The 19,378-nt window shown below is 39.6% G+C and overlaps 1 protein-coding gene and 1 long non-coding RNA gene across 17 annotated transcripts; one reads left to right on the plus strand and one right to left on the minus strand.

Moving 5' to 3' along the window:
- Nucleotides 1-1,720: 1,720 nt before the first annotated feature.
- On the minus strand, nt 1,721-14,270 carry MORF4L2 (mortality factor 4 like 2). Of its 16 annotated transcripts, none has more exons than NM_001142428.2 (5): nt 14,212-14,270; nt 11,394-11,483; nt 10,904-10,952; nt 4,722-4,823; nt 1,721-3,274 (listed from the first exon to the last, which is right to left on the minus strand). In NM_001142428.2, the coding sequence occupies exon 5, from the start codon at nt 3,248-3,250 to the stop codon at nt 2,384-2,386; it is 867 nt and encodes a 288-aa protein (NP_001135900.1). In that variant the 5' UTR covers nt 3,251-3,274; nt 4,722-4,823; nt 10,904-10,952; nt 11,394-11,483; nt 14,212-14,270; the 3' UTR covers nt 1,721-2,383. The 16 variants fall into 16 exon arrangements, with proteins under 16 accessions (NP_001135900.1, NP_001135904.1, NP_001135894.1 ...); NM_001142432.2 differs by having other exon boundaries at nt 4,722-4,843; NM_001142422.2 differs by having other exon boundaries at nt 4,722-4,874.
- Nucleotides 13,507-18,783, plus strand: MORF4L2-AS1 (MORF4L2 antisense RNA 1). Its single transcript, NR_038978.1, has 3 exons — nt 13,507-13,709; nt 14,175-15,703; nt 17,642-18,783. It is a non-coding gene; the product is annotated as an MORF4L2 antisense RNA 1 (long non-coding RNA).
- The last annotated feature ends 595 nt before the right edge of the window (nt 18,784-19,378 follow it).

Consider the following 19,378-nt stretch of genomic DNA (forward strand, 5'->3'; position numbering starts at 1 on the left):
GTATTTATGTGTTTGACTATTCTACTGTGTTGCATACCTAATAATTCCCTTCATGTTGTTTTATAATAAAGTTATTTAAAGTATTTATGTATTAAAATCTATCCACCTTTTCCTGTAGGCATCCTGTCAATAATCTAATATTTAGAAAGGTCATCTGAGCCAAGATGATAAAATATCCTTCATTTTAAGCAAACAATCTATGGTTTCACTTATCAAATGTAAATCTTTAATTCGTTTGGAATGTACTTTGGAATAAAATGTAATGCAAAAGATCTAACATTCCCCTCCAATATTTTGACTATCCCATTCTTTCACTACTAATTCAAATATTACCTCTAACATAACTAATAAGTTAAACACACATACACAGACACAGATATTTCCATTCTGTTACCCTGATCTGTTTTGGTGCCCAAAATACACTTTTAGAGTACCATTTTATAACAAATTTTTCTATGTGGCAACTTCTCTTTAGTTTTCTCAGAATTTTTCCATTTTCATGTTTTATTTTCATTAAGTCATTTAAAAATAAACTAGTTTTATTAGCCTTGAACTTCCTTTGTATATCAATTTGGGGAGAAAAAGAAAACCATACATATGATCTGATCCCAATTTGTTTTAAAAATGTTGTATGATCTTTATTACAAATATTTACGTATACACATAATTCCAAGAATATCTGGTAAAGTATTAACTATTTCAGGTGTGTGCTAGGTATCTCCCATTTGTCCTCCTCCCACTTACCACCCGCAACTACCCTCCTCCACCCCCCTCCCCACCATCTACTTTCCTTCCTGCTCTGTGTCCCCCACACTTACCAACACAGACTATACAAAAGGTCTTCCTTGCCCTCTGGCTTCCAGTTTGGACAAAGGGAAATACCCAGCAGGCGATGTTCGGAAGAGAGCAAAGTCAAGCATTTATGCCCTCTCATTGCATTTTCTCTTCTCAGGGTCGCTGTGAGCTGACTGCATCCTGAAGATTACAGCTACTGTCAGGTGGACCTTTCCACACAGCTGTATACCATTCCAGTAACCCCTCCCTTCCTTCCCTCTGCTCCTCCCGTCCCTTCCCCTCTTCGTCTCCTTTGCAGAGGGGTAGTAACACTGTTATGCCCTGAATTGTGCACCCACCCCTCCCCACACCCGCCAAATTCATGTTGAAGTCCTAATCCCCAATACCTCAGATTGTGACTGTAGTTGGAAATAGGGTCTTTACAGAGATAACTAAATGAGGTCACTGGGGTGTGTCCTAATCCAATGAATAGTGTCCTTACAAGAGATTAGGATACAGATACACAGAAAAAGGCCATGTGATGACAAGGAGGACGGCCATGTAGAAGCCAAGGAGGCCTCAAAAAAATCCTCTGGCAACACCTTGATCTGACTTCTAACATCCAGAACTGTGAGAAAATAAACTTATTGTTTAAGCCACTCAGTCTGAGGTACTTACGGCAGCCTGAGCCAGCTAATATACACTACAACCCTACCCCTCTGGTGGCAACTCAGGGAAAAAATTCTTTAACTCTCCTCAAATCACCCATTTTTGAGTCCCATTTATTTGCTGGGACCTTGAAGGATCCAGTAGAATTACATGATTCTTATTTGCATTTGTTCTTACTATGTTTTCTAAAATTTCTACAATAACCACAGAATACCAACCTTATTTCTACAATAACCAGAATACCAACCAGTAACATGAAAGGCACACTACAAATTACTTGCTTTGAAATTTAGAAACAAATTTTATTTAAGATCTGAAATACAATTCCTAAAATATCAACTTTTCCAGAAAACCGTGGCTACACAATAATGCATTGCCTCTATCATGTTAGAACGTGCATTAGACTCAAATACAAAAACCATGAAACAAATCACCATCCTTCAACAATTTGAGCAAAGATAGAATGCCTAAGAACAACATAGATGGACTTGCAGAGGATGGGCTGTTTTACTTCAAGCACCATAAAAAAAAAAAAAGAGCACAAATGCATGGGTTTTCAGGTATATACATTAAGTTGAACCTTTGGCACTAGGAATCAGGGCGTTTTGTCACATAGCATTAACACATATTAGAAAATTGTGTAGTGTCAAAGGGATAGGAACCACCAGCATTCAAGCAATGTTGTCAACTAGGCAATAAAATGTTCTACTGAATGTTTCTTCTTTGTTCTAATTACTGCATACACTGGTAGCAACTTTGAAATGAGAAAAGGAGCTTACACTCCTTTTATTTTCTGTTTAAAACAGAACGGAAAACAAACTGAAACATAAGCCCTGTTATACATTAACGATTTTAAAGAACATCAATTTTACAAGAAAAAGACTAAGAACAAAAAGTGTTTACAGATACAGGACAAAAATGGTGAGCTGTCTGTAGACGCTCACAGGGCTTTGCGGTGGTACTCAGCAGAAGCCACTTTGTAATCACTGGCAGTAAAGAGAGATGCAGAATTCTTTGCCAGATATTTTAGGAAATCATGCAAATAGCCCAACAATAATGCAAGGCTTTTCTCATCAAGGGGCGTATAGGCCAACATTGCTCCAATTCTTACAAATAATCTCAGTAGGTGTGGTGCTCCATAAACCTGGGACATTGGAGCATCAGGGTGAGCCAAGAGGATTTCAGCATACTGGGGCCTCTCAAATTTGTAGAGCAGCTGAGTGCCCAACATCACATTGAAATATTCTTTTATTCCTGCCACAACTTCATTAACCGCATATTCCTTATTATCAACATTTCCCTGCGATTTCTTGCAATTTGCATACTCCTCCAGAATTGCATCTACATTTTTCTTGGCAGGGAGTTGAAACAGCTGCTTCTGCCTGGTAACTAAGTCCCAGTCCTCAACAAGCCATGGTTTTAATTCTTCAGGAATCTTCACTTTAACCTCCATTCTATTCTTAAACGCCTCCTCACTTTCAACAGTGGGGTCTGCCCGGGCCCTTTTCTTCCGAGGGGGCTGAGGTGCTTCGCTGGTACTGCCACCATCTCCGTTTCCAGGAGTCTTCTGCTTGTTCTTTCTGGTCTTCCTCACGGATCCTGAAGGGGGGTTCTCTGCAGAGCGACCACCCCATCTTCCTGGGAGAGCTGGTTCAAGATTTTTCTGCTGTGGACCAGCTGTCTTCTTTCCTGAGGAGGCCCCTCTCATTTTACTTCTCTGCATGTTGCTTCTAGTTGGTTTTTTGAAGTTCTCTTCTTCTGCAGATTGCTGTCCACGAGGTTGAGAACCCTGCTTTCTGGAACTCATTCAACCCTGTTTTTATTCCAACCACTGTAATATATAAAATATTTTACTTGGTTGTTTTCTATGGCAACCTTTAACTATGTTTCATAAAGGCCCATCAGAGAATAACACATTCTAACTCCCTTAAAATCTGGATTTCAAATCCTATTTCAGGACCCTTTATAAGTGATTTTTTATTTTTTTACCTCCTTTCCCTCTCTCTGATCCTCACTACCAGCCACTACTCTCATCTCACCCAAATACTCATCACAACTACCCATAAATTACTCTGTTGATGCCACTCACAAGATAGGAAAGCAATTTTCAAGAAAGAAGGAATTAAATGAAAAACTATAAAAGACAGTGGAGTTGAAATTTAAGACTTTTGAACAGGAGAAATGACAATATGGAATAGGGAAGGTTATATTTAATTGACTAAGGGCAAAATGAGTAACAGTAAAGGTTCTTGTATTAGTCCAGAAAGGCCTGAATTAGGATGATGACAGAGTCAAGAGAAACTGAAGAATACAGAAATCATGAAGAATATAGTAACCAAAGGAGGGAGGAATCTGCAATTTCAAGCCTGGGTAATTAATGAACTTAATGAAAGCACTGAATTTAGGGTTTAGTTTGGAATCAGAAATAAAATGACAGAACATAGGTAATTCATCCATTCATTAATCTATTCAGTTTGTCATTATACATTACTGCATATCTGCTTTGGGACAAGTACTATGGTAGTTGCTAGAGATCCAAATATCTAAAGTGACAATTATAAAACGATAAGGTTAGTATAATGACAGTTATAGGCACAAAATAGTTTGGGAGCAGACACAAGAAATGGTACATGACACCACTGTCAGTGATTGTTTAAGAAGGTAAAAAAAAGATTGGTGAGGGAGGAGTCAGTGATGACTCCCAGGTATGGGTGATTAGGTTATTAGTATTATCACCAAATGATAATACTCCTCCATTTACAGGTGGAGAAAATGGATTGGAGGAAAAGTTGTGTTGGGCCTATTGTGTGTGAGATGTACAGTTAAACATAAAATTGTAAAGCTCAGTTTTGTCCAGCTAACTGGGTACCCACCCCACAACCCAAAACAAAAAAAAAAAAATAAAGCTCGGGTGAGAAGTAAAAGCCAGAAATGGAGATCTGAGAGTAACATCACATAGCTGGTAGTGGACACTACGAGGGCCAATGAAATCAGGGAGAAGAGAGGAAGAACTTCAAGTATGGAATTCTGGAAAACCTAAGGACGAAAGGCATTTAAGGGATGCACAGAGACCACAAATGAAACAAAAATGTTAAGAGTAGCCATAACAGAATTAGAAGAATGTTATTTTGGATGCCAAAGATGATGAGCGTTCCAAGAAGAAAAAGGTATAATCTACAGTGTAAAGTGCAGCAGGGAGTGCTAGTAAGATAAGGATGCAAAAAATAGTCTTCCATTATTCTTATGGTGTGACAGAGGAAACAATTCCTTTGACTTACACAATCTTCCTTCTTTCCCTTCCAAGAACTCCTAGTGATTTCCCAGATGAAATCTTATAGATCTTCTGGGATGGTCTAGAAGGGTGAAGTGGGAGATACAACCTAGAAAGAAAGGCAGGTATCTGCAATGAAGATGAACTTTTGTGAAATCATCTAAGAAAAAGAAAAAAAATGAGTAATTTATAAACATGTGGTTTATATGTTTACATTTAAACACATATATGAATCATATACCACAATTGTAAATCGTGGTATCAGAGAAAATACTTGAGTTCTGCTGTCAGACAGATCTTTACTTCAATTAGGCTCCGTCATTTATGAGTTGTGAGACCTCAGGCAAGACATGTAAGCTCTCTTAGCCTTTTTCTCATCTGTGGAATGTGGCAAATTACCTATAGCCTTCACAGGTTCCTGTGAGAATTTCATAAAGGTGATGTGGCTGAACAGCTAGCACAGTATGTTGCGGGAATATTTGCACATGGATACAAAGATGTTCAATGTAGTGGTGTTTGCAATACTGAAGAACTGGAAAACACCTACCTATTCTTCAACAGGAAAATGATAACATAAATTATGTATGAATACTACAGAAGAACATTCAAATGAATTAAGCAGAGATCTGTGTACTGACATGGAAAGATGTTCAATATATATTATTAGGTAAATAGGCAGTGGCATAATACTACAGGATCCCAAATGCAATAGGATCTTAAAGAGACAGATAAGGCCGGGCGCAGTGGGTCACACCTGTGATCCCAGCACTTCGGGAGGCCAAGGCAGGCAGATCACGAGATCAGGAGTTTGAGACCAGCCTGGCCAACGTAGTGAAACCCTGTCTCTACTAAAAATACAAAAAAAAAAAAAAAAAAAAGTAGCAGGGCATGGTGGTGCACGCCTGTAGTCTCAGCTACTCAGGAGACTGAGGCAGGAGAATCGCTTGAACCCGAGAGGCAGAGGTTGCAGTGAGCTGAGATTGAGATCGTACCACTGCACTCTAGCCTGGGCGACAGAGACTCCATCTCCAAAAAAAAAAAGATAGTACAGGTAGAGAAATAAGCATTAGTGTGAAATAGTTTTTAGGAAGAGTGTGCTGTCATTTGTGTGTGTGTTTTAAACAGATGTCTATAAATATGCATGGAAATATCTAGACAGATAAATATCAGCCTGTTAAAATCAGGGTAACCTCTGAGAAAGGGATGATTGTAGACTAGCCTTAAACCAGGTTTCTCTAGTAACTACAACTTTCACCCACAGAAAAAGCCCAGCAGCCATTCTGTAGCCATTAACACTGTAGGCAGGTGTCAGGGAGGCTCTGAGAAGAAAATCAGAGATAAGAAATGTTTGTTAGTAGCACCTGTGGGCAAAAAAAAAAAAAAAAAAAAAAAAAGAAAAGAAAAGAAAACAAGGCCGGGCACGGTGGCTCACGCCTGTAATCCCAGCATTTTGGGTGGCCGAGGTGGCCAAATCTCTTGAGGTCAGGAGTTCAAGACCAGCCTGGCCAACATGGTGAAACCCTGTCCCTACTAAAAACACAAAAATTAGCCAGGCTTAGTGGTGCACACCTATAATCCCAGCTACTTGGGAGGCTGAGGCAGGAGAATCACTTGAACCTGGGAGATGGAGGTTGCAGTGAGCCAGGAGATCGTGCCACTGCACTCCAGCCTGGGTGACAGTGAGACTCTGTCAAACAAACAAACAAATAAATAAATATGCATGCATGCATGCTTGAAGACTAGATCCCTGAACCAGGAAAGCCAGTTATTGGGAAGAAAGGCCTGGATGCTAGTACTTTCACTAAGCAAACAATATCCTCTAACTGAAAAAGCACAAAGCTTTGAGCAGAAATTCAAGGGTAAAGTCAGTCTTCAGAAAGCATCAAAATTTGTAAATATGGAGACTGATCCCTGTGGGAATCAGAAACCTTCTGGCTGAGAGGGACACGGAGACACATCCTGTGAAGGATCAGACAGTGGTGATAGTGGCCACTGTATCATGGCATTAAATTGTAAGCTATCATGCTTCCAGAATAATGTTTCTAAAAGAATTGCTTTGTGACCAGGACAGACCAGATACAGTATCTGAAGACTTCAGAGAATTGTTAATACAGGTTGAGTATTCCTTATCCAAAATGCTTGGGATGAGAAGTGTTTCAGATATTGGAATATTTGCATATGTGTGAGAATATCTTGGGGATGGGACCCCAGTCTAAACAGGAAATTCATTTATGTTTCATATACACCTTATACACATGGTCTTGAAGGTAATTTTATACAGTATTTTAAACATTTCTTTGCACCTGTCACATGAGGTCAGATGTGGAATCATCTACTAGTGGCATGTTGGCACTCAGAAAGTTTCAGATTTTGGAGCATTTCAGATTAGGGTTACTGAACCTGCATGAGTAAATCCAGAAAGCCCATCTTGGGGCTCATAGTGCAGAGGTTCCATAAAACAAAGGGATGATAGTGAAAATACCACCTAAAGAAAGCAACATGACCTAGTGCCAACCAGACTGTGTAAAACACATTAAGTAGAGCCAAGCTGGACAAAAACCATTCTGGAAGTCACATTGGTCCCTGGTGGGTATATAATTGTGAATTGGGGTGGAGGGGGCTGTGACTCAACACATGGAGAAAATGAGGGCACAAATTAGGGACAACAGTCACCAACTATTTTGCCACCTGTTCCCTACAGGTCAGCTCTAGGGTAAGCCAGAAATTCAGAAAACACATTTGTACTTATGTTTGTCTTAGTTTTCTATCTTTAATTTTACACCAGTTTAATCTCTGTATAAATAATACATTTAAACAGAGGTGAGCTCATAAGGGCTATCAAATCTTAGATTTTTCCTTTTAAAAAATTTACTATGATAACCAATAATCTTCCCATGTTAAGGTTATTATATGCATCCATTTTGAGTCATATAATAGATATTCTGTCAAATGAGCATACCTTAATTTACTTAGCCACTCCTTCCCTGGAAATATCCAGTGCACACCTCCCACCAATATATTCTTTAATAATCAATGAAAACATTTTGTGTAAACATTTTTTTGCTCTCGCTTCCTTTTGTTCCTTTAAGACTCTCAGAAGCGGGCTTAGTGAGTCAAGAGATAGAACACTCTCAATACACTGCCAAATTACTCCCTCTGCACAAGTTGTGCCAATTTCTAATCCCACAAGCAGTGTGTAAAAATATTTACTATGCCTCATGCTCTGACCAGTACTGGGGATCATTTAAAAAATTTTTTTTCCTTTCATTTTTAAGTTTAAAAATTAAGAACAAATACTTTGATAGATTTCTTTTATAACTCCTTAATCCATCTAGTAGTTTGCAAGTCATGAACTGACAATCTTCGTTCACCTCAAGTAATTAGATCTTGTGGTACCATTTATATTTCCTTTTTATAACTATAGATAACAAATTATATAAAGATGTGAACATTCTTCCCTTATCACCTCCCCCTCTCCCACCCCAATCCTAGGAGTATCCTGAGTGAGCATGTATGCCTTCAAATCTTTTCATGTACATTCACATAAAATGTAACTTTAAAGACTCAATGTGTATATTATACACATAGGTATGTGAATATATAGCATGCATTTATTTAATTTGTTTTGACAAAGGTGAGATCCATACTGCTCTGCACCTTGCTTTGCTCACTTCTCATAGGCATCTTTCCATGTCAGTACATACCTACCTCTTCTTTTTAATATTCATAACACATTCTATAATGTTATGTACTATAACCAGTCTCTGAACATTTAGGTTGTTCCCAATATTTCATTATTACAAAAATACTGCAATGCACATCAGTGTATACAAATATTAGAGCATTAGTTAAGTACCTCTGAAGGATATATTCCAAGAGGAACTATTTAGCGAAAGGATTTGCTTATTTATAACTTTGATGAGATAGAGCCAAATTCACCTCACAAAGAACTGTTTTAATTTGTACTCCTAACAAAAATATAAAAGTTCATTTTTTCATGACTTCAAGAACACTGGAAAAACATCTTTTTGAAAAAAAAAGGAGAGCGACTTTTCTTGGGCCAATCTAACATGTAGTAAGATAATTTCATTTGAATTTGTGTGATATCATCCTTCACACATTCAATGGTCACGTTATCGTATATGAATATTTTTGTTCTCTCTTCTACCAGGTTGTTTGCTATTATTTTCTAATAATTAAATATTAGTTTTATTTTATGTTGGAAATTTTTTTCCAAACCATCACTTTCTTTTGTCTAACGGTGTCTTACTATGACTGTTGTATGTATATGTGCATACATCTCTCAATATCACAGACAAATCTATCAGTTTTTTCCCTTGTGACCTTTGGCTTTTATGTCATGCTTAAGGAAAATGCTCCAAAAATACTGCAGAAGTGATTTCCTACTCATTATTGGTACTTTTATAGTTTTCCTCAAATGTATAACTAACTTTTTCTAATATTCGTCACTGAAGAGTTTATCCTTTCCCCATTGGTATGAAATACGGTTTTGTAACATTCTAAATTCTCAGAGGTATATGGGTCTTTTAAGGTACTCTCTTCTGAATGATTTTTGATTATTTAACTTTTTTTTTTTTTCTTTTTTTGAGACGGAGTCTCGCTGTCACCTAGGCTGGAGTGCAGTGGCGCGATCTTGGCTCACTGCAACCTCCGCCTCCTGGGTTCAAGCAATTCTCTGCCTCAGCCTCCTGAGTAGCTGGGATTATAGGCGCCCACCTGTATTTTTAGTAGAGATGGGGTTTCACCATCTTGGCCAGGCTGGTCTTGAACTCCTGACCCCGTGATCCACACACCGCGGCCTCCCAAAGTGCTGGGATTACAGGCGTAAGCCACCGCGCTCAGCAATTATTTAACTTTTAAAGGTATCACTGTCTCTAGGCCATCTGTTCTGTCACAGTGGTATATCTGATAGTTCTCACCAGTATTAATTTAATTATCACAGTTTAAAGGCATAAATTTTGCTCTTGAAAATAACACTTGTAAATGGATGGCTACACTAAGAATATTTGATGCAGTATTATCTTAAATAGCAAAACACTAGGACCAATAGAAAAGGTTATCAATAGTGATTTCACATATTATGTGATTAACGTTTTATAATAAAATATATATATTTAAAACTCACACTGACTTTCTGATCTACTTTTATTCATGGATCTCACAAATGGCCAGCCCAATTTTTCAGTTAATCATCATTGCATATTGTATACTTTGTAGACATATCATTCAGACTGGGCTCATTCCCTCCTTCTAAGTTCTACCCATCCTCTGTGGCTCAGGTCCAGGTCCTCTTCCTCTGTGAGGCTTTTTTTTCTCTATTTCTGGTCACCCTGACCCTTGCTTTCTCTGAGTCCCTGTTGGCTTAACAGTCCACCCCTTACCTTTGGCCCCTAATCATTCTCTAAATGGTCTCATGTAAAGGTATTCTGTGCCTACCGATCTAATGCATCTCTTCCAGGAGGGCAGTGCCCTCCTCCGAAACCTACTTTTCAGAAGAGAGAAAAAAAAGGAAATTACAGTGACTCCATATGTAGCTGTCAAAAGGCTGAAAAACCTTCAAATCCTACTTCATCTCTCCACACAAGCAATGGGCCATTTGGGAATCAGACTGCAAATGCTAACATCTTTTGTGTATGCATGTGTCAGAAAAGAGTGTGAGTAACATTTTGTTGGAATAAACCTTTAAATGCACATATACCATATCAGTTACATTCATATCAATTTTCTCTTCTGGATCTTGAAACATTTCCATTACATGTAATAGATTTTTTTTTTTTAAGTCTGAGACAAAGGAGGAATGATACAAAAGCTGTTAGCAGACTGAATATTCAGTGAAAAGATTTGCTTATTTATAAATTTGGTTTGAACTGCTAGCTAAAATTATAGCTCCTGGAAATTCCCTCATAAATAAATATGATCAATATATTTGAAACCTTTCTAGATTGTTAAGACAAGCCAGAAGTCATAATTTCGGAATTCAGTTCTAGTGGTAACTGCTGCTTCTGGAAAATGAGGAGAGAAACCAACGGTATTAATTATTATTTTTTTTTTACACAATTCCAAAAAGAAATATATCCACTGCTTTTAGAAGTAGGTGTAAATGTGTAGATAAAACATGAGATTATCAGGACTAACAGAACCATAATTATTATTAAAGCAAATACTTACATGTGCCATGCACTGTCCTGGTACTTTACATGTAATCCTCTCAACAATCCTATGAAGTAGGAACTATTATTATCACCTCTGTTTCATATACGAGGAACTTAGGTATAAAGTGAGTAAATATCTTGCCCAAGATCACATAGTTAAGTGGCAGAGCCAGGATTTAAATTCAGGAAGTATTTGCTCTTAACCACTAAACTATGCTGCATATAGGATGCTCCAAGGAAAAATGTAATCTATGGAACTGTGGAACTACTACAGGAGATTGACTGTAGTATCTTTTATCAAGGGATGTAAGATTACAAAGCCCTCTGTTGCTTATGCACTTTCTATACTGGAACTATCAATGGACTTAGCTCCACCCTTCCCTTCTCAGAATTTAGACTACTTTCCCAGATAGGAGCTTATTAATTTTCAAAATATTCCTGGACAGTTAGGAAGGTTATGTGGTATTATCCTGTTTGAGAACTGAGGACAGAAGGGAGGCACTTACCCAAGATTCTGTAATCAGGGAAGGTTCTGCAATCAGGATCAGATCTCCTGATCCTCACTATACAGCAAACTTAGCTTTTCTGATGGTGACCTAGAAGGTCAAACAAAAGGACAAGAAAGAACATAAAATAAAAAGATATGAGATATGGCTTTCTTCTACATCAGCCAATGCAATTTCATCACACACAAAGGACACCAAAGCTGATAAATAATGTACAAGTGTTTCTTTTTCCTTTCTTGTGGCCACATTTTCAAATTTAATTTATTGTACATTTGTATAATTTCTGACAAATTTGTTTTTTAACTTTCCTTAAATATAATTTCAAATGGATGAAATAAAAAAGAAATAGTATTATAAACCTACACGAATCCATCATCCAGCTTTCAACAATTACCAACTGAAGGCCATCTTGTTTCATCTATAACCCCACCCACTGCTCCCCCCCACCCCCGACTTTTTCAAGCTCACCGGAATATCTGACTTCTGTATTTTATTATAGAAAAATTTAAACGTATACCAAGGAAAGCAGATTAATATACGCAACCCACTGCCTATCACTCAGCAAAAAAATATTATTAATTTAGGGCCAATTTTGTTTCATCTATACCCCTCCCCATTTCCCCCTACCGCTGAGATTATTTTGAAGCAAATCCTAGTCATTAATGTATTTAGAAGCCAATCCCAGACATTATTTAATCCGTAAATATTTTCGTATGTCTCTACAAAAAAGGACAATTTGAAAACATAATCACAATACTACTGTGACGCCTAAAAAAACTGACATCAATTCCCTAAAAAACATCAAATATCGAATCCGTGTCCCAATTTTCCCGATGCGTCTTAAACATATTTTTACAGTTGGTGTGTTCGATTCAGGATCCAAACAAGGCCTACTCATCGCATGTGGTTCATCTCCAGCTCGCTCTCGTTCTCCATCTCTTTCTTTCTTGCACTCCCCCCCCCCCCACCTTTTATTTAACTTTTCAATATAGGAAAATTACAATCTCTGCTATTTTGAGGCAATTCCCAAATAACAAATTATTTCATTGGTAAAAATTGGTATATCTATTTTATCTTTAATTTATTCTAGGAAAGAAGTTGATGGCAGAAAGGGCACTACAATTAGCGAATTTATATAATTTATAATTTTTCTCATTCTATTACGCGTATTATTTATCTCCATAACAATAGCTAATATCTTCAGGGGCCAGGCTTCACATTACGTGCCTTATACGCACTATTATACAGTACACGTCTCTGAGGTAGATACTATTATTATCACCATTTTACAAACATGGAAACCGAGACACAGAAAGAACAGGAGCCTTGCCCAAGCTGGGCGTTGGCGAGCAGGAATCTGAATCCAGCTCTGACCGATTGTGAAGGCACTAGGTAATCCCGTCTATACCCGACGAAAAAAGGAAATCATCGACCCTTTCTCCCCACCCCCACCCCGAAACCTGAAACGAGAATCCAGATCTTCCCAGCAGCCGACGTGTGATCACTGCCGTTCCTCCAACCGCCATAGTAAAGCCAGGTTTCTCTGGCAACTGATATCCATAGGCAGACACGTCACCCTGGAGGAGGGCGTATGCCCTTCAGCCAATCACAATCGTCTTGTCTAAGTTTTAGAATGTTCCATAATCAAATGATTGGACAACCACCCCCACGTCAGCAATGACACTTCGCCGCAGTAAAGGCGGGTGCTAGCAACCTGCTTCTTCACTGTTAAGGTCTACAGCAAACCAATCCTCTTCCTCCGTTAGTACGAGTTCCGGCCAATGACGTTCGCCCTCTTAGGTTTTTTTTTTTAGCCCGCCCTCCAAAAGCGTGACAGCCGTTGGGTCATAAGTCTACAGGGCAGAATGTTCACGTGGCCTATTTCACGACCCAGAGTTCCTCTGACCAGAGGGTTTTTTTTTTTCCTTTTCCTTTTTTTTTTTTTTCCTGCAGGGAGGCATTATGGGTTTGTGGTTTTTTTCCCCCCCCACTGGGAGAGGAAGTGTCTACGTGGCCTGCGGAAATAGGATAGGCGGAAATGAGCTAAGGTTCCCGCGAGTGGGGAAGCGCGAGGTCAAATCTGGGGCCACGCCCCCAGTCCTGTGGCGCAACTCCCCGAACACGGAAAAAAAAGGCGCAGTGGGGGTTCTGCTGTGTTTGCAAGTGAGGGTCGTGAGTGCAACGGGCGCAAGGCATTAAGGCCAGTGTGTTAGTGCGCGGGCAGGCTCGCGTGGTGCTGGGGTTGCTGTGTGAGCGGCCCTCGTGGCTCGGGAGGTGCTGTGTTTGCGCAGGCGTGCGCCCCTGGCGTCGGGACTGGTGAGAGCCACGGCGGGCGCGCGCGCGTGCGTGATGGTGGGGGCGGTGCAGGGAGGGGTTTGCTACTGCGCGCAGGTTGTTATCTATTTCTGTGTTATATTTGAAAATGTTCTAATGAAAAGGAAAATAAATAATTAAGGAAAGGCGACAATAACAGATAAAGGGGCACTGTCAGAAATATTTTGGCTTTCCGTACTGATTTAATTACTTTAAAAATACACTTCCTACGTTTTCCTCCGTGCCAAAATCCTATCGTAAACCACAGCCCTCCAATGATTCAGAGCCAAACCCTTCCATCGCCGCATTAGCAACTCCAAAGGGAGGCTTCTTTCAAGTTCTCTAGTATCGTCCTCCCTCCCCTCCTCCACACCTACCCCCTCCCTTCAAGGTTGCGTGCAGTTCTCTTGGCACAAATACAATTTTCCTGTGAGAATATCTATCTACGACAGCCTTCCCCTCCGTTAGGGACTCCGGATTTCTGTGGCGACTGAGGCGCTCTTACCTTTGCGTCCTGATCTCCAAGCAAGCACACTGACCTTCTTCAGGCAAATACGCACTGTTAATTTTCCAGAAAGTTCTGTGAGTAAGGTTTATACCTCTCGAGTCTGCCACTAGATGCCGCCAAATCCCAGCAAAGGATTGGCTGTTTGGTCCCTGGGATTCTGGGATTTTGTTTCCCTCCCCCCTCCCCTTTCTGATTTGCTGAACGGTAATATCTATAGGCATCATGGATATCGTTCATTCCTAGGAAAAAATAAAATCAACTTCTGTAAATAGCACTAGTAGGCAGGGGACTGTGACCCAAGATCCAAATAATTTTGCTCATTTCTTTCCTTTTCTCCTTGGGTTAAAAAAAAAAAAAGGCCCCTCTCCATCCCTCTTTTCTTTTGTCCTTGCCTTGTTTAATCAAAGAGTTAATGAATGACGCAAGCACTGATGCTGAAGATCCTAACCCTTTTTCCTCACCTTTTCAAATGCTCGCAACTCACCCAAACTGAAAATACAGATAGCTGTTCCGTCAGTAAAGATAGATAAGAACTCATCAGTAAAACCTGGACCCTGGTATTGAAAACTGATTTTCCTTTTCTCTTGAAATTTGTATCAGATATGTGTTTTTGCACCCTATTTTCTGTAGTGGTATTGGTAAACTTTATTGTGTCTTTGGAGTAAGAGAAAGAGACCTAATTGTAAACCTCATTCCACCACTTACTAGTCTCAGTACCCTGGGCAAATGATTTATGTTTTGTGATCCTCAGTTTTTTTGTATGCTTTCTATATTTTAGATGCTGTGTTATATCGTTCACGTTGATTTTTTTATTCATCACCAAGTCCTTATTAGATGAGCACTACTGGATCAAAGTCAAACAACAAAAATCATACCCCTTTCAATTATCTATCTTATATACTTGTACACCACACAGGAGGGATTTTTTTAGAGCAGTGGTTCCCAAGGTGTGTTTCCTGGATGTACCAGAAACATCAGCGTCACCTGAAAAGTTGTCAGAAATTCGGATTCTCAGGTCCCACCTCAAACTTAATGAATCAGAAGTTCGCAGGGTGGGGTTTAGTAATCTGTGTTATTACAAACTATCCCAGTGATTCCAGCACACACTGAAGTTTGAGAGCCACTGCTTTGGAGAGTAGAAATGCAATGCATATTTTTGTACACACCACTAGAGGGTGCTACAGAATGTAAAGCAAAATAATAAATGATGCACAGTATATGTTTTCAGACACCCTCTATATTATCAGTCCTATTTTACAGATTAAAAACTAATGTGTAGATATGTCAAATTATTTTCTTAGTGTACGCAACAAGTATGGGAACCAGGATTTGAACTTCACCTGCCTCTAGCCCAAGCCCCTAATAGTACTCTGTTGTTTAACCATGATGACTTGTCTTTCCAAGCCTCAAAATACATTAGAAATATCTTGTTCCCTGCTTTGGCTAATGTTGACTGGAGTGTCAAGAAGAGTGCAGGAAAGCAAACCAAGTAAGTGGAAATATTTCGATGTTTCATTCTCATACCCTTCCTCATCTCCATTCTATAATAGCATATCACATCAAGGCTTCTAAATGTTTTCTTTCTTGTTTTTTAATTCCCCAAATAATGTTCTCTTTACTCTGCAGTTGCCTTTTTTATTTATGTCTAAATCTCTTTTTTTTTTTAACGGAATTTCTCTCTGTCGCCCAGGCTGGAGTGAAGTGGCGCGATCTCAGCTCACTGCAATCTCAGCTCACTGCAATCTCCGCCCTCCCCTCCACCCAACCCCAACCCTGGTTCAAGCAATTCTCCCGCCTCAGCCTCCCGAGTAGCTGGGATTACAGGCATGTGCCACCACGCCCGGCTAATTTTTCTATTTTTAGTAGAGATGGGGTTTCACCATGTTGGCCAGGCTGGTCTCAAACTCCTGACCTCAGGTGATCCACCCGCCTCGCCTCCCAAAGTGCTGGGATTACAGGTGTGAGCCACTGCACCCAGCCATATGTCTAAATCTCTTCTATGTGTGTTGAAGTTATCAGGGTGGTGAGGAAACAGTTATTGAAAACCTGTTATGGGCCACACACTCTATACACCCATTAATCTCAACAATAGGCCTGCAAATTGGGTGATATCATCATTATTTTATAGATAATGAAAGTGAATTCTGCAGTGTGTAATTACTTATCTTTGGTCATATAACTTGTAAATAGTGGAACCTGGATAATTCCTGGCATATCTGCCCATATTATTTTACTAAGCTTTCTACTTTTTGGCTTTGAAGCTGGTTTAGTTATTTACTTGTTAAGTGACTTTAAGTTATTTAACTTTTCTAAGCCTCAGTGTCACATATTAAATGGGAACAAATATTTCTATTTCATAATCTTAGAGCCACACTATCCAATACTGTAGCCATTAGTCATATGTGACTATTTAAATTTAAATGCAGTAAAATTTAAAAATTTAGATCCTCAGTTGCACTAGTCTCATTCCAGGAGCTCGATAGCTACTTACAGTTAGTGGCTACCATATTAGACAGTGCAGATACAGAACATTTCCACCACCACAGAAAGTTCTACTGGACAGTGCTGATTTAGAGGATATAAGGTATATAAAAGGGCCTAACACGGTGCATATCTCATGGCAGATGCCCGAGAAAAGTGATCTCGTCTGCTTTTTTCTTTCAGCATCAGAGCTAGGGGTGTTCTCCTGTTTTATTGATGGAGTTGGGAGAGGGAAGTAACTTACCCAAGGTAGTGTGATAGGGGATATATCTGGCACCGGGACCCACATCTCCTAACTCTTGCTCTAACATTCTGTCTAGTATACCCATCATTATGCTTTACTCTACTGAGTGAGGTTTCAAGGCCAAGCATGTGAACAGTGTGAATTAACTTTGGAATCAGGGTGGTAGCAGAAAAAGGCATAGGAACTGAATGTCTCCTGTGTGCCACATAGCACTGTGCCCAGCTTTTTACATCTGGTATCTTAGCAAATCCTCAGTGAAGCCCAGAGAATAAATACCCCAAGTTGCTCAGCAAGTAAATGGCAGACCAAGCCCAGGCTTTTTCCCATTATGTCATGCTACTCCCTCAAATGTGAATACTCCCCTGCCACCTCCACTTACTAGTGGGTCCTCAGAAAATGGGAATTACTCCTCTTTTGAATGTATAGCTGAACCGCTGTCTTCACAGTCTGTTTCAACTGGAATGGAAAAATAGCTTAGGTCAATGTTTGTTTGGCTCCAAGGCCAGACAGAGAATATTTATGGTCCCAGCCTTCAAAGGACAGGCAATGCTCTGAGAACCCTGTGTTAATTTTCAAGGCCACCATTAGCTCATACCTTGCTTTTGTGCTAATTAGAAAAGCATGTCACCTGGGGGGCAGAGAAATTGTAGAGAAGGGCCCATTCCAGTGGAACAATGAGAAAAATAACTTTTCTTTCTGTAGGCTGTTGCAACCTCACCAGAACAGCTGAAGAATGAATTTCAGCCTGGACTCTACCTTATTAGTTGGGCACCCTTGGGGAGGGTGCAACCTGCCCAACATTTTCTGCTGGCCCTGTCTTACCTCATGACTAAGAGAGCCTTCCTAGGTCTGGAAGGTAGCAGTCAGTCTGTTCTGGAGGGTGGAGAGAGACACCAGTGTTTTCCCATGGTTTCTGGGTAGTAGATAAAATTGGTCTATTCTAAGGTTAATTTGATATTTTAAAATTTTGATTCTGACTAGCTTATTGGATTTTTTTGAATAATGTTTGATTAATGTAAAGGTTAAAAATAAAACCTAATATTTCAGCTAAGCAAATGGTATTTCTTTAATAAGGACGTATTTCTATCTATTTATACCTGCCTCATTCCATAGGAATTTTATAAAGCCAGTCCAGGAATGTAGTCTGAATCAATCTAGTTTGCTAGCCTGTGAGACCAGGGCAAAGATGAAAATAGTCATGGGAAAGTTTTATCCTTTTAGGGGTATCTGTCTTCTTCTAGTTCCTCTCTCCTCCTTTGACAAATCCCCACCCCGAGACTGACCTACCCATTTGACAGAATGAGATTACTTCTTCAAATGACCCAAAACACTGAGATCCTGAACCTAATCAATAATGTCCTTGGATGACCTTGGGATGCCAGATTCACACATAATTCCTTGTTGTCCCCTTCCTGAGTTAATAGTTTAGCATACAATTTACCAAAATTTGTAGTTTCCTGAGCCACAGACTTCACTTGGAATGATCATATAAAGTCATCCATGCTACATACCAACCCACAGAAATGAGGACCGCTTTCCTCCAGTGTATGCTGAGTCCTACAATCTGAGCACTGCTTCAAGAGGATGCCTTGAGTCATTTTTCCAGAGTTAAATTTGCTTATGCTTCTAACCTCCACCTACAGTCCCCGTTACACTGGGAATGATAAAAACTATGCCTTTTGAAAATATAAGCTGTCATGTTATTAAAGATGACAAACCAGTAGTAGTTAAAGTGCTGCATCTAAATTGTTGAAGCTTGTTACGTGGGAGTTCATTAGACTGTTTTTCCTACTTTTGTGTATTTTTGAAGTTTTCCATAATAAAACATTTAAAAAGACAAAAAATGTTTTAAAGTGCTTCATCAGTCCTGAGGAAGAGAACGCACATGGGTTTCTCTTTAGAAGAGTACTTATTAACCAAGGGGTTAGGTAGAATGTACACCCTTTAGTAGAGACATACCCTGTAAAAATCTGGGGAGGGGGGCGTTTTAGATTGAAAAAGCCTCTTTGCCAAAAATTCTGGTTAGGTCTTCTAGAAGGGAAATATCCTTCTGCCTGCAATCCCCCTCCACCAAACCCCACAAGTAAGTCTTGCTGTAATGAACCACTATTGGTGAAAGAAGTATATCATATCCCTTGGGCGATTGAGAGTGGAGGGAGCTTGAAAACCATGGAAACAGACCTCAGCTAATTGGCAAAAACTGTTAGCCAGCAGGAAGAGAAGCACAGGCAAAGGGAGTATTGGGGCAGGAGATGGAACTTGGAGTGTAATGGGGCTTCATTCTCACCCCAGGTGAGTGCTGGAGAGGACAAAGCTGCTAATGACAGAGGACACCAGGGAGCAGAATATGTGGCAAAGAGGTCCTTACTGAGGACCTCAGGGTATTCTTGGAAGGCTCTGGGCCCCATCTGACTTGCAGGTTTTTGTTTTGTTTCTTTG

This window comes from Homo sapiens, chromosome X (assembly GCF_000001405.40).
Source record: "Homo sapiens chromosome X, GRCh38.p14 Primary Assembly".
In the NCBI taxonomy this organism is placed as follows: Eukaryota; Metazoa; Chordata; class Mammalia; order Primates; family Hominidae; genus Homo; species Homo sapiens.